Source organism: Homo sapiens, chromosome Y (genome assembly GCF_000001405.40).
Source record: "Homo sapiens chromosome Y, GRCh38.p14 Primary Assembly".
NCBI classification, from domain to species: Eukaryota; Metazoa; Chordata; class Mammalia; order Primates; family Hominidae; genus Homo; species Homo sapiens.
The window spans coordinates 7,013,382-7,026,520 of NC_000024.10; the positions used below are offsets into that span (position 1 = coordinate 7,013,382).

The 13,139-nt window shown below is 39.9% G+C and overlaps 1 protein-coding gene across 3 annotated transcripts in view; it reads left to right on the forward strand.

The window, feature by feature from the left end:
* Positions 1-13,139, forward strand: part of TBL1Y (transducin beta like 1 Y-linked) — a 180,987-nt gene that overhangs the window by 102,685 nt on the left and 65,163 nt on the right. For all 3 annotated transcript variants that reach the window (NM_033284.2, NM_134259.2, NM_134258.2), the window contains 2 exons: positions 8,068-8,156; positions 11,654-11,761. In NM_033284.2, coding sequence (NP_150600.1) covers positions 11,704-11,761 — 58 coding nt within the window. In that variant the 5' untranslated portion in view covers positions 8,068-8,156; positions 11,654-11,703. The remainder of the gene's footprint in view (positions 1-8,067; positions 8,157-11,653; positions 11,762-13,139) is intronic.

Below are 13,139 nucleotides of genomic sequence, written 5' to 3' on the forward strand. Positions count from 1 at the left end.
GTTTAGACTGTGTGGTCCAACCCTAGCCAATAGGGGAAAGACACAGAAGCACAAGCTGCATTAGAGATAATAAAACCCCTGCTTTCCTTTGGTCTGTATGCTTTTGCCATTGCTCCATACATGAGTTGCACCCTTGTGCAGAAGTAAATTTTCCTTGCTGAGACGTTCTTTGTCTAAGTGCTTGTTTTCTTTGCGACTCCAAGTTCTTATTCCCAACAAGCTATGAGAAGAGGTCCACCATCCTCCAGACCCCAGTATGGTAGGCATTCAACACCAGATGGTGAGAGCAACTGCAGGGTCTATACCTTGCAGAGACAGGGGTGGAGCTCCCCATGGCCTTGGTAGCCCACTTCTTGTGCCACTGCACCCAGGATGTGAGACAGGGAGTCAAAGGAGATTCTTGGAGAATCTCCTTAAAATCTAATGATTGCCTTGCTGGGTTTTGGACTTGCATGGGGCCTGTAGCCCCTTTCTTTTGGCCAATTTCTCTCTTTTAGAACAGGATAGAATATAACCTAATGCCTATATTCCCATTTTATCTAGGAAGTAACTAATTTGGTTTTGATTTTACAGGCTTATAGGCAGAAGGAACTTGCCTTGTCTCAGATGACACTTTGAGTTAATGCTGTAATGAGTTGACTTTGGAAGACTATTGGGAAGGCATAATTGTATGTTAAAATGTGAAAAGTGAGGGGCCAGGTGTGTAATGATATGATTTAAATCTGTGTCCCTGTCCAAATCTCACGTTGAATTGTAATCCACAGTTTTGGAGGTAGGGCCTGGTGGGTAGTGATTGGATCATGGGAGTAACTTCTCATAGTTTAGCAACATCTCTGGTGGTACTGTATAGTGAGTGAGTTCTGATGAGATTTGGTCGTTTAAAAGTGTGTAGCACTTTTCTTCCTCTCTCTTTCCCTCCTGCTTTTCCCATGTGAATGTGCCTGGTTTCCCTTCACCTTCCACCATGGTTGTTTCGTGAGTCCTCCCCAGAAGCAGAAGGTGTTATGCTTCCTTACAGCCTGCAAAGCCTTCAGCAAATTAATCCTCTTTTTTTTCTTTTTTTTTTAATAAATTACCCAGTCTCAGGTGTTTCTTTATAGCAATGCTTGTTAGTAAAACAGAGGACAGCAATTTTTATCATTTAACCAAGCAGAATGTTTTTGAGCGAAAAATATTTTTAGGTTTTTTCTTGGTTATAGTTTTCTAGTTCACTTATGGCAGGTATGCTTATTTTTAAAGAACATTAAAGTTTAGGCCTTTAGAATTTGTTTGTAAAATAGTTATTGATTATTAAAAAATAATACAAAACATGTTTTATTTGTCATGATTATAACAGTCAAAGGGAAGGGGTGGGTGACTCTTAAGAAACAGATGTGCTCCTGAGAAGTACTACAGTGGCAAAAAATTACTGGTCTAGATAAACAGTATTCCAGAAGTGAATTTTAAAAAAAGTTGAGATGGTAACATACGAGGAAATAATGAATGCATTGTGACTTTTCACCTCCCCATACCCATTTTCTCATAGTTTGTTGAGGAGAAAGAGAAATGAGGATGTTGGCCTGATTTTGATTCCCAATGGGTAAGGCTCATGCAGAACTGCCCTGCTTTTTGACACTATTATGATATTAAAAGTACCATGTACTTTTATAAGTCTTTACCGTCTTGGCACACTTGCATTCATTTTAGTCAAGTACTGTCACCTTTAGATTTCAGGCTTGCAGAGTCTTTAAAAAATGCACATTAGAGAACGCAGAGTCTTCTAACAATAAAATCTCAGCTTATTAGGATGTTTAGTGACCAGGGTATTCAGAGTCAGTTAGAAAAGTGTCTTTAGAATTTCAGCATATGGAGATGTCTTTCATAGAGAAACCTGGAAGAGTTTGGCAAACCCTAGCATGTTGAGCATGGAGTATCGTCATCTGCATGGGCACTCAGACACCTGGACAAATGAATCAGCAGTAAGACAGGATGGAGGGGTTCACAGAATACATGCTTCCCACTACCCGGAGCTGTGAGGAAATCATGAGGACTGACTGAGCATTCATTGTACACATGTGCACATGTTGGTTGCTATGCCCTGGGATGTGGCAGCAAAGAATAAGCATGTGAAATATTTAAAATTATTTATTAGGTGGATTAAATAAGCTCCCAGCACTCAGAAGACAGCCAGGCATGTAACAGGTGATATATATGTGTTAGTTAATATCATAATTTAACAGAGACGAGGTTTTGCTACATTGCCCCAGCTGAACCTGAACTCCTGGCCTCAAGCCATCCTCCCACCTCAGCCTCCCAAAGTGCTGCAATTACAAGCATCAACCACTGTGCCCAACCTATTATTATTTTTGAATAACTTTATTTAACCCACTGTTGCCAATGGTTTTGAAGTGTGGAGCCATTTTTCAGATGACACATGCTAAACTACTGAACAGCCTGAGAAATGTCGCTCTGAAGAGCATGCCTTGGCAAACACTCTCCTACTTAATCAATCTCCAGTTGATTGGCTTCCAAGTTCATTTGGTTCTCATTTTTCCTAACAACAACCCTGCAAATCATTACCCCCATTTGATGAGGTGCTGGCTGAGAAGGCTGCTTGCCTAGGTATGTTTCCCACCTGCCTGTGACAAGCTGTTAGATTCTGAAAGCTGGTGGTGCTGGCCTCAGTTAGCTGAGTGATTCCAGTGTAGGGTCTTTCGAGGCTGCAGGCAAGATGTCCGCCCACCTAAGGTGGGATGGGGGCAGGAGGGGCTGTGTCCTGGCACCTCCCTCCTGTGGCTGCTGAGTTGGTATGGCTGTAGGCGGGGGGCCTCAGTGTTGTACTGTACTGGCCTCGCCGTGAGCACCCAAAGGGATTTTATCATACAAATTTGATTCTGTTTTATCAAGAGATGCCAGTAGTACCTCCACTTCCAGTTGTGAAACCCCAAAATATCTCCAGACATTGCCTAATATCCCCTGGGAGATGGCGGGGGATGTGGGGAGGGGGCAACAGCGGGCACTGTCAATCCTGTTCCAGAACACTGTAGTAAAATACAGAAATGTGATGCCAATCCCATGCTTTTATTTAGGATTGCATGTGTAACACATATGCTTCTGAGTGGGAAAGTAACTGTTTGCTCCAAGCAGAAAATGGTGCATCCTTTGTTGTCATGGGGCAAATGCTTAGTAAGGATTTGACCAATGTAGAGGAATGCTCAGTGTGCAGTGGCAGCCAGGTAGTGAGCAGATGCAGCCCTGCACACAGCGTGAGTTTGTCAGTGTTTGCCAAGCAGTACTCCGGTATGCAGTCACTGCTGGCTATGGCTCTTAGGCAGGCAGGCTCCTGGCTCCTCCTTGTGTGTCCATCCCGTTTGTTGGCCACCCTGCCTGCTGGCACTAGGCCATCTGCTCCTTTTCCCAGGTTCTGGTTGCTCCAGCTTGGCCTCCCTCTGCCCATTCTGTGCACCTTTCATTCTTGGGGAGGAGGAGACTCAGGTAAAGAAGGATAAAGCAGAACGATGCCAGGAAATTCCACTGCTAGCCAGTTGCCCCAAGGACTCGAATGCTCATAGTAGCATGGTTGACCCAAGCCAGGTGGCTGTCAGCTGCTGCCTGGAGAAACACAGTGCGGTCCAGCCACACAGTGGCATAGTATTCAGCTATAAAAAGAGTGAAGCCCTGGGCCTGGTATGGTGACTCAGCCTGTCATCCCAGCACTTTGGGAAGCCGAGGTGGGTGGATCACCAGGTCAGGAGATCGAGACCATTCTGACTAACATGGTGAAAACCAGTCTCTACTAAAAATACAAAAAATTAGCCAGGTGGGGAGGTGGTCTCCTGACTACTAAGCCTGGAGTTCGAGACCAACCTGGGCAATATAGTGAGACCCCATCTCTGTTTTTTAAAAACAATAAAATTTTTTAAAAGAAAAATAATAAAATGGTTAAATTTACATTAAGTTATTTTTACCCCAGCTGAAAACAACAACAACAAAAACCATGTAGGTGAATGTCCAAGGGAATGTCTATATTGGGCCTATGGTGTGCTGTTCTGGTTTTTCTTATATGAATGGGCTCTGAAGGCTGCGTCAAAAGGGGAGTCTTTAAAGTTGCTAATTTTTTCCTGATACAAAAAGAATATAGTTTCTCAAAATGACTGCTTTCGAGGAATGCCCCTTTCTAAATTTGAAAACATAGTATTAAAAACAAGAGTCTCTCAGTGCTTTAGACCGTTATTTCTTGTATTCAATTTAAAAATCCCTTATGGTGGTTTGCAGATCTGCAGAGAAATTCACAAAGCATGATTGAAAAGTGATGTGTAGTCTTTATAGTTGAATAGGAAGAAACCAGCTGATTTGCATATAGGATGAAATGTAGCTGAGGGTGCTATTGAGTTTGGACAACATTTGGCTAGACCTTTGTAACTTTTCAGCTCTATGAAGCAATAATTGTGTGAAGAATTAAAAGGTGGAAAATGAACTGCATGTGGCTGGCTCGCATATGCCTAGGTCTATTTCCAGACACAACGACCAGTGAAATGACAGTGTTGGTGATGCACCAGTTCAAGGAAATATACAAAGACTGCCTACTCACAAATACAGACACCAGCGGACTGATACATTGCTTGCACTTGAAGGTATAGAATTAGAAAACATAGGAAAACAGCAGCAGACTGTTCTGTGTCCTTTTCTTTAAAACTATATCTTGAAATTTCTGTGCTTCCCCCAAGAACATCTTTAAAGATGACAGTAAAATAACTCCAGAGGAAACTTTCTGAATTCTAATATCCACATGAAAATGTTGCATTTTCTTCTGATTTTTCACAATAAAAGTATGGCAAACCTCATGAAGAAATGAATGTGGTAGAGGGCTTCTGAAATCTACGTATTAACATTTGTGATCAGCTAGTGAAATATTCTCATTGATTATATATAGTACATCCTTCATTCATTAAGCTAACTTTTATCAAGTATGTGTTATGTGTCAAGCCTAGATTGTAGAAATGGAACTTGAGGAAGACAGGACTCTTCCTCCTGTTTGGGTAGAAAAGGTATTATGTGTGTTATGAATGATGTGATGGAAGGAAACACAGGACAGCATTGGAAAATGGAGATCATCACCCAGAGATTCTGTATTCTACTTGGGGAATAGACTAAACATCAAAATACAGTAATTTAAACAAAATGCATTTACCCCTCATGTATTGGTACAAAGGCAGACAATAGTCCCAGAAGGGTAGGTGTCAAATCCCCAAGAGCATCGGGGGATCAAGGTTCCTTTTGTGTTACTATCCTGCCTTCCTAAGGGTCAGACAGGCTCTCAAGCAACCCCCATGAGCACAAGTTGTATGCATCCTTTCCCAGCTCTTCTCACCTACCATTGGCAAGAACTCAGTAGTGGAACACCCAGGGTCTGTTAGTGAGGTGTGCTTGTGTGACTGAAAGAAAAAGAGAAGTCTTTTGGGGAGGAGCAGGCCTGGTGGAATCATAGTTTCTAAATCTTTGCATTTTATCTAATTCAGTTTTTTGAAGAAATGTACGTAGCACCACAAACTCTATTCTTAACCTACTTTCTATGGAGAAGCAGGCACATGCTGTGTTGTATCAGCTTGGAGAGCCCCTTCAAAACCTCTCCACATTCAATGTGGAGGGACTGTCACTATACATGCACGGCACACCATGCCAAGAGGGGAGGACTACTGGAACATTAAAATCTCTTTTGTATTTGTCACATAATCAGCATTTAGTTGTAAAAATAAAGAGCATACGGCATTTGTTAAAATCATTTCCATTTCATAACAAATATTTGGCCATATGTAAACTTTCTTGCTGTGGCTGTTTTTTAATAATGTTTCAATTTCTGTACTAATAATTTGTAATAATAATAACAATGGGAAAATCAGTAATGAACAGGTGTTGGAAGGTCTGATTTCTCATTTTAATTTATTGTTTCTAGCTATAAACAAATTATTTTTGACATGTTGCATAACCAGAAGAATGTTATTAAATAAAGTCATAATTCTCCTTTTTGGTGTTGATGACACCCAGATGATAATTACACTTAATGAGTTTAACAACACATATAAAAGATAATCTAAAGTTTCAGGACCCTGTTATGTGGGTTACCATCTGTTTTGGACCAAAGAATAAGAATTGGATTCCAAGCTTTTTTCTGAACAGCTTGTAATAAGAGCTGTTTGTGTATTAATTACTTCTTGAACTATTGTGGGTTTTAATGTTTTAATTTACAAGCAATTTGGAATTTATGACATCTGCTCATATTTTGATACTTCATGCTATTTACCAATTTTGTCATGAGGCTGTTTTTCCCCCTGGTAATTTACAACCTAATTCTGAAAATAGTAATTTGGTCTCTACCAGTTCACTCTAAGGAGAATTGCCCTGTTTCATCTCCACTGCAGATTTTTTTTTCATAAGTGAAAGTATCTTTGTTTTATAAACAAAATTAAGTTGCCATTGTGCCTGCTTCTCTGGTGCCCTTTCATTTCTGTTCAAAGAGTTAGAGATGAATTTAGTTTCACTCTCATTGCTTTACTTAAGTAGTTGGTTTTTTACAAATTGTCCTGGTTATTACTTTTGGTTGGTTTTTGTTTTTGTTTTTCAATGTACTCTAATGCAATTCATGGTCCTGTGAACCTGACTGTAGAACTTTTTTTTAAATCTCCTTTATTTAAACATCATAACTGTAAACATGACCCAGTGGGAATAATTTACTTGCAGTTCCTGAAAGTACTTCATGAGGTTCCATATGAGTTCACTAATAACAAACACCACTCATAGCTTCGCTGGTAGACTTCAAGTATACTAAACCTGGTACCTTTTTATTATCACTTAAGACTATTTAGAGAAAATGGTGAGCCTTTAATTTTCTTAGTTCTTGAATTTGTAGTTGATAGAGGGTAATTTAAACTCTCTAGGCGGGTGGCCAGGTGCAGTGGCTCATGGCTATAATCCCAGCACTTTGGGACGCTGAGGTGGGTGGATCACTTGAGCCTAGGAGTTTGAGACCCTGGTCAATATGGTGAAACCCTGTCTCTACTAAAAATACAAAAATTAGCCAGGCATGGCAGCGGTTGCCTGTAATCCCAGCTACTCAGGAAGCGAGGCAGGAGAATCACTTGAACCTGGGAGGCGGAGGTTGCAGTAAGCTGAGAAAGTGTCACTGCACTCCAGCCTGGTTGACAGAGTGAGTCTCTGTCTCAAGGAAAACAAAAACAAAAACAAAAAGAAAAACAAAAACTCTCTAGGAGGCTGGATTCATTCACAATCAAATAAATTTTATGAGAAAGCTGGTAAATATCATTAAATGGTTGGCATTTATAGTGACTAAAAAATAAAACAATTTTTAATATAGAGGATGATTGCTTTATGAGATATAAACCTGGCTTACTGAAAAATCAGTGCAAATGAACCCTTGTGAAATAAAAATGTCTAAGAACAGTACATGAGAAGTTGAGATGTCAGTTGGTGCCTTTGTTTTCCTTTATTTTAGAGGAGCCGAAGGAAAAAGATTCTGACCTGTTTCTGTGTTTTTATGAGCACAGTATATAAGAATGGTTATATGCGCACCAACATGCACTCTGGGGTTACTGGAAAGCTAGCCCCAACAATGGGAAACATCTTGCTACAGTGTGATATCTTCTCCCAGTGGTGTGCACAGGTTCATGTATCAGTTGCATAAGGCACTGTTCCAAAAACAACAATAAGGGAATAAGGTTCAAGGAACCTTAATTTATCTTTAAACTTAATTTAATTTAAAATTAATTTAAATATTTATATAATAGCAGTAGCAATAGCTGAGCTAATATTATCTATTTTGAGACTTTTCTTTCAGAACTTCTACAGGCATAATAATGCCTGACTGGTCATTTTAATTTCTCCTTTTTTTTTAGTTTGCAAACAAAACCCTGCAATCTGTGCTTTAGACTAACACAGAAGTTAAGAACTAATAAGATGTGTTAAGTTTGAGTTAGGATGAAAAAGAAACCTAAAAGAATGGGAGGGGTGAGAGGTAAAAACACCCTAAGGATTTTTAAGTCTTTTGTTCTAAACCTTTCCCTTTCTCCCTAGGCTGGTCCCCACAGACGGCTTGCCATTTCTATGACTGGATGCTGAGAAGCCTGCTGGTTCAGAGGTCCACACATGAAGTTACCATAAAGGTAAGCAGCCCAGCATGCCATTGGATCCTTGTCCTTGTACCTGAAACATATTTCAGGAGCAAAACTGCATTTTGCCAAAACGCAATCCCTTCTCTTTTAAATTATGTTTTCGGGGAAAGTGGCACATCTTTGTCCTTGCTGAAATTGAAGCCATTAGAGAAACCATTATTAAATCCTTATGAGCTGCAAAGTCAATTCTAAATGAGGAATTCGCCTTTTTACTGCCTTCTGAGAATTTTGGATCCTGAATGAGCAATAACAAACTTTTCTGGGTCTTACCAGTCGAGGATAACACCTTCTAAAATCAACCTCTCTTGTGAATATTATAATTATGCAGGCTTGTTAATTGTAATTGGGCACACGAGTATAGATTTTATTTGACTCCTTTGTCTTCATTTTGTGCTCCATTAGTTTTTTAATATGATTTGTGTCTGTCTGCGTTGATTTGCTAGTTAACCGTGAAACTTATTAGAAAATCATGCAGATTACTGTGTGTAAATGTGGTGAGACGCTTAAGGTTTCCTGATTAGCAAACCAAACAGTTCTATGTGGCCAGGTGTCAAAAGTTGAAACCGATACCCAAACTAAAACTAAGACCTGCACCCCAAAAGTTCTTTTAAAGTTATCCTATTACCTTTTGGTACATAGGATTATAGTTTTATTTTACTTAGTTGCTACTTAATTTTCTGCTTCTTTCTCTAAGGCATTTTTAGTTTTTTTTTTTTTAAAACTATAGAAATTTGGTAACTTGAAAGCATAAGGATGGAATTTTGAGGGAGATTTTTGCTTTACTGTTTTGAAAGAACCAACTAGAACTAAACTGTAGGCTTAAATTTAACTAAAATAGGAAGCTTACTGTTTGAGGTACTTTTGTTTAAAGCAAGATGTACGTATATTGTTATAACAAGTTAAACATGTAGAGGTATTTGAGTGTTATTTGACTTAAATATTTGAAAGGTGTTGTTTGTTAATAAAAACAAAATTTGTAATATATTAGTGAATTTGAATTTTTTGATTGGCTCTTTCATTCAGTATAATGTTTTCAAGGTTCATGTGCATTGTGGCATGTGTCATTCCTTTTTACATTAGAATAATATCTCATTGTGTGGCTAGATCATGAATAGAACATGTTTTATCCATGCATCAGTTGATGGAAATTGGGGTTGTATTTCCCTTTGGGCTACTATGAAAAAGATGTCAGGAATACACATATACAAGTTTTTGTGGGGACTTACGTTTCATTTCTTTGTGGTATCTACTTAGAATTGGGTCATTTGGTACCTCTGTTGAACATTCTGAGGAACTATTGTTATGTTCCTCAAAATGTAAAGTGGTCAAAGTGGCTGTTATGTCAGTCAATATTTTTTGAAATGCCATTGAACCATATTCTAAATGTGAGAGGGATGATGGGAGGGGGTCCTTTCTCTCATCAGTGTTTTGACTGGGTATTAATTTCAGTACTTTGGGAACCTAAGCTTCAGTTTAATTCAATCTAGTATGTGCTGAATTTCTCCTGTGCGTGAGGTGTCTGTGTTTGGCCTTATAAATGACTGAGTGTTTTTGTGGCCTTTCATACCTTATGCAGTTTATAGATGCAGGTGGTAATTTGGGATTATCCTGAAAAAGGGCACTCTGTTGCTATTGTTCATCAGTAAGGCTGGGAATAACTTGTCTAACATACTCTTTCTGCCTGTGTTGGGCACTGCGGCTTAGAAAGTGAAGGCTTATAATTGTTTCCTTGAGATGTGTGTGGTTTCAACACATGTCCTCCTTTCAAAGTCATCCATAACAGACCTGGGTAATTGTGTTTTATTGACTCTCAGTCTTAAACTGGTTGGTAAGATTATGAGGAATGTTCACATTAGGGGCGTTCACCATTGAGGTTCTTAGGCAGGAAGATTCCACACCCAGAAGGGACTAGGCAGTTGTTCTCTGAAGTAGAGGTGGGAAAATCTGTTGTAAATCGAGAAGGACTGAGAGCAGGCTCAGCAAACGTGGTCTGTGATGGACCTGATAGTAAGGGGCTTAGGATTTGTGGGCCAGGCAGTTGCAGCTGCTTTACTCTGCCATTGCATTATGAAGGCCCTACGGAGATGAATGAACATGGCTCAGTGCCAAGAAAACTTTATTTATAGACATTGATACTGGGTTGCAGTTTGCTGACTCTGACCTAGAGCAACACACTGTTTTTTTTTTCCTTTTATGTCTTTTTATTTTTATTTTAAGTACTTGGGTACATATGCAGGATGTGCAGATTTGTTACACAGGTAAACATGTGCCATGGTGGTTTGCTGCACCTATCAACCCATCACTTTGGTATTAAGCCCAGCATGCATTAGCTGTTTTTCCTAATGTTCTCCCTCCCCACTCTCCAAACCCCAGTGCCAGCATGTGATGTTCCCTGCCCTGTGTCCATGTGTTCTCATTGTTCAACTCCCACTTGTAAGTGAGAACATGTGGTGTTTGGTTTTCTGTTCTTGTGTTAGTTTGCTGAGAACGATAGTTTCCAGCTTCATCCATATCCCTGCAAAGGACATGAACTCATCCTTCTTTATGGCTGCATAGTATTTCATGGTTTATATGTGCCACATTTTCTTTATCCAGTCTATCATTGATGGGAATTTGCGTTGGTTCCAAGGCTTTGCTGTTGTGAACGGTGCTACAATAACATACATGTGCATGTGTCTTTATAGTAGAGTGATCTATAATCCTTTGGTATATACCCAGTAATGGCATTGCTGGGTCAAATGGTATTTCTAGTTCTAGATCCTTGAGGAATCACCACACTGTCTTACACAATGGTTGAATTAATTTACACTCCCACCAACAATGTAAAAGCATTCCTATTTCTCCACATCTTCTCCAGCATCTGTTTCCTGACTTTTTAATGATTGCCATTCTAACTGGTGTGAGATGGTATCTCATTGCAGTTTTGATTTACATTTCTCTAATGACCATTGATCATGAGCTTTTTTTCATATGGTTGTTGGCTGCATAAATGTCTTCTTTCAAGAAGTTTGTGTTCGTATCCTTCACCCACTTTTTGATGGGGTTGTTTTTTCTTGTAAATTAGTTTAAGTTCTTTGTAGAGTCTGGATATTAGCCCTTTGTCAGATGGATAGATGGCAAAATTTTTTTCCCATATATATGGCAAAATTTTTTTCCCATTCTATAGGTTGCCTGTTCACTCTGATGATAGTTTCTTTTGCTGGGCAGAAGCTCATTAGTTTAATTAGGTTTCTAATTGAGCCTTCCCTGGCCTTAGGAAATAGGTCAACTCTTGTTTTTTTGGAAAACATTTCACCTGGTCTTTTTTTTTTCTTATGTATAATTATGGAATGTTTATGTAATTACATAATTACAAAATATAACGCATCATATATTAATTACCTTCATGTGTATAATAGCATAGATAGTATTTTCTTTAATCACCTCACACACAAAAAAAAGAGAAACACACAGGCAGTGTTTCAAAACTGTCTTCTTTTTTCAAACAGAGGGTGGTTCCAACTTCATCAATACCTCATCGCCATGAGGTGAGGCTAAGATGAGCATAACCAGTGACGAGGTGAACTTTCTGGTTTATCGGTATCTCCAGGAGTCAGGTAAGAGGCTTGGTTTTCTGTTGGGAGGAAATTCATCCTGAGCATCTTACGAGCAGAATGATCAACCCTTGATTCAAAACCAGGCTGTAGAAGAAGAACAGCTAAGAAAGTTCTCAGTGCTAACAGGGAGAAGAGAAGGTTGTGGAGCCATGTCATCCCACCTTCCTCAACGATAATGACCCTAGTGGACTTTGTTATCTCTACATGTTTACTACACACAGCTGTTTTCCTAACCAATATACAGAGCCAGTGGATTTGTTTCCTAGAACTGCCATAATGCAATACTGCAAACTGGGATGGCTTAAAAGGAAATACGTTGTCTCCTAGTTCCTGAGGACAGAAGTCCAAGATCAAGATGTGGGAAGGTCAGCTCTTTCTGAGGGCGAGTCTCCTGTGCCCGTCCTGGCTCCTGGGGCCTTGCCGCAGTCCTTGGATTCCTTGGCTTGTAGGGGCATCACCCTCGTCTCTTGTGTTCAGATTTGACCACATTTCCCTGTGGTAAAGACAGTCAGATTGGTTTAGGAATTTACTCTACTCCAGGATAACCTAATTTTAGTAATTGATTCTGAATCCAGTTATAGTTACATTTGCACTGACCCTGTTTCCAAATAGCATCACATTCTGAGGTGCACTGTTGATGAGCACTTTAACCTGTGAATTTGTGGGGGTGGGGGCACAGTTCAAACACCAGGATTTGTTTTGGAGTCTTTTTAAGGTTTGTCCCCTTAATACCAGATTGAATATACAGTATGGAACTTGATTATTTGAAAAGGAACTCCCAGTTCCTTGGCACCCCCTCCCAGAGATGTATGTATTCAATTTGAAGGAAGCCAGTCTGTGGTCCCTTGGGCATGGGTTCTCTCACTGCTGTGTAGGGTACAATATAGGCATTGGAGCCACCCAGAATGGCTCAAGATGTGATCGTTAAACAAGTCTGAGTGAGGCCTGTTCATTTGAGCCTTGGTTTTCCTGCCCAGGCAAACGTGATCAAGTATGTGAGGCACGTAACATGTTGTAAATAAGTGCCCTCCCCATCAAGCCTGGGTTTCTGTCCCTTGTGCTCCCAGCTACCATTATTCATGGGAAGTGCATGCGCTTTCTGCATATATATCAGATACCTTGGATTGGCTTTTGTCAGACGCAGTATAAGCAATTGGTATACAAAACAAAATAGGTACTGCCTCACCCCTGGGAATCAGGGAAATAATAACCCCTGTGCTAATACCTCAACCTTGGCTCTTAGACTAGCACAGGTGATCTCCTGTCTCAGAGCTCAAAGCTTCCCAGAGGTGGCTGCAAATGGAAATCATGCATACCAAAACCTGCCTCCCTGTTCACTCATGGCATGTAGTTTAGCATTTAGCAACACCTTTGCACA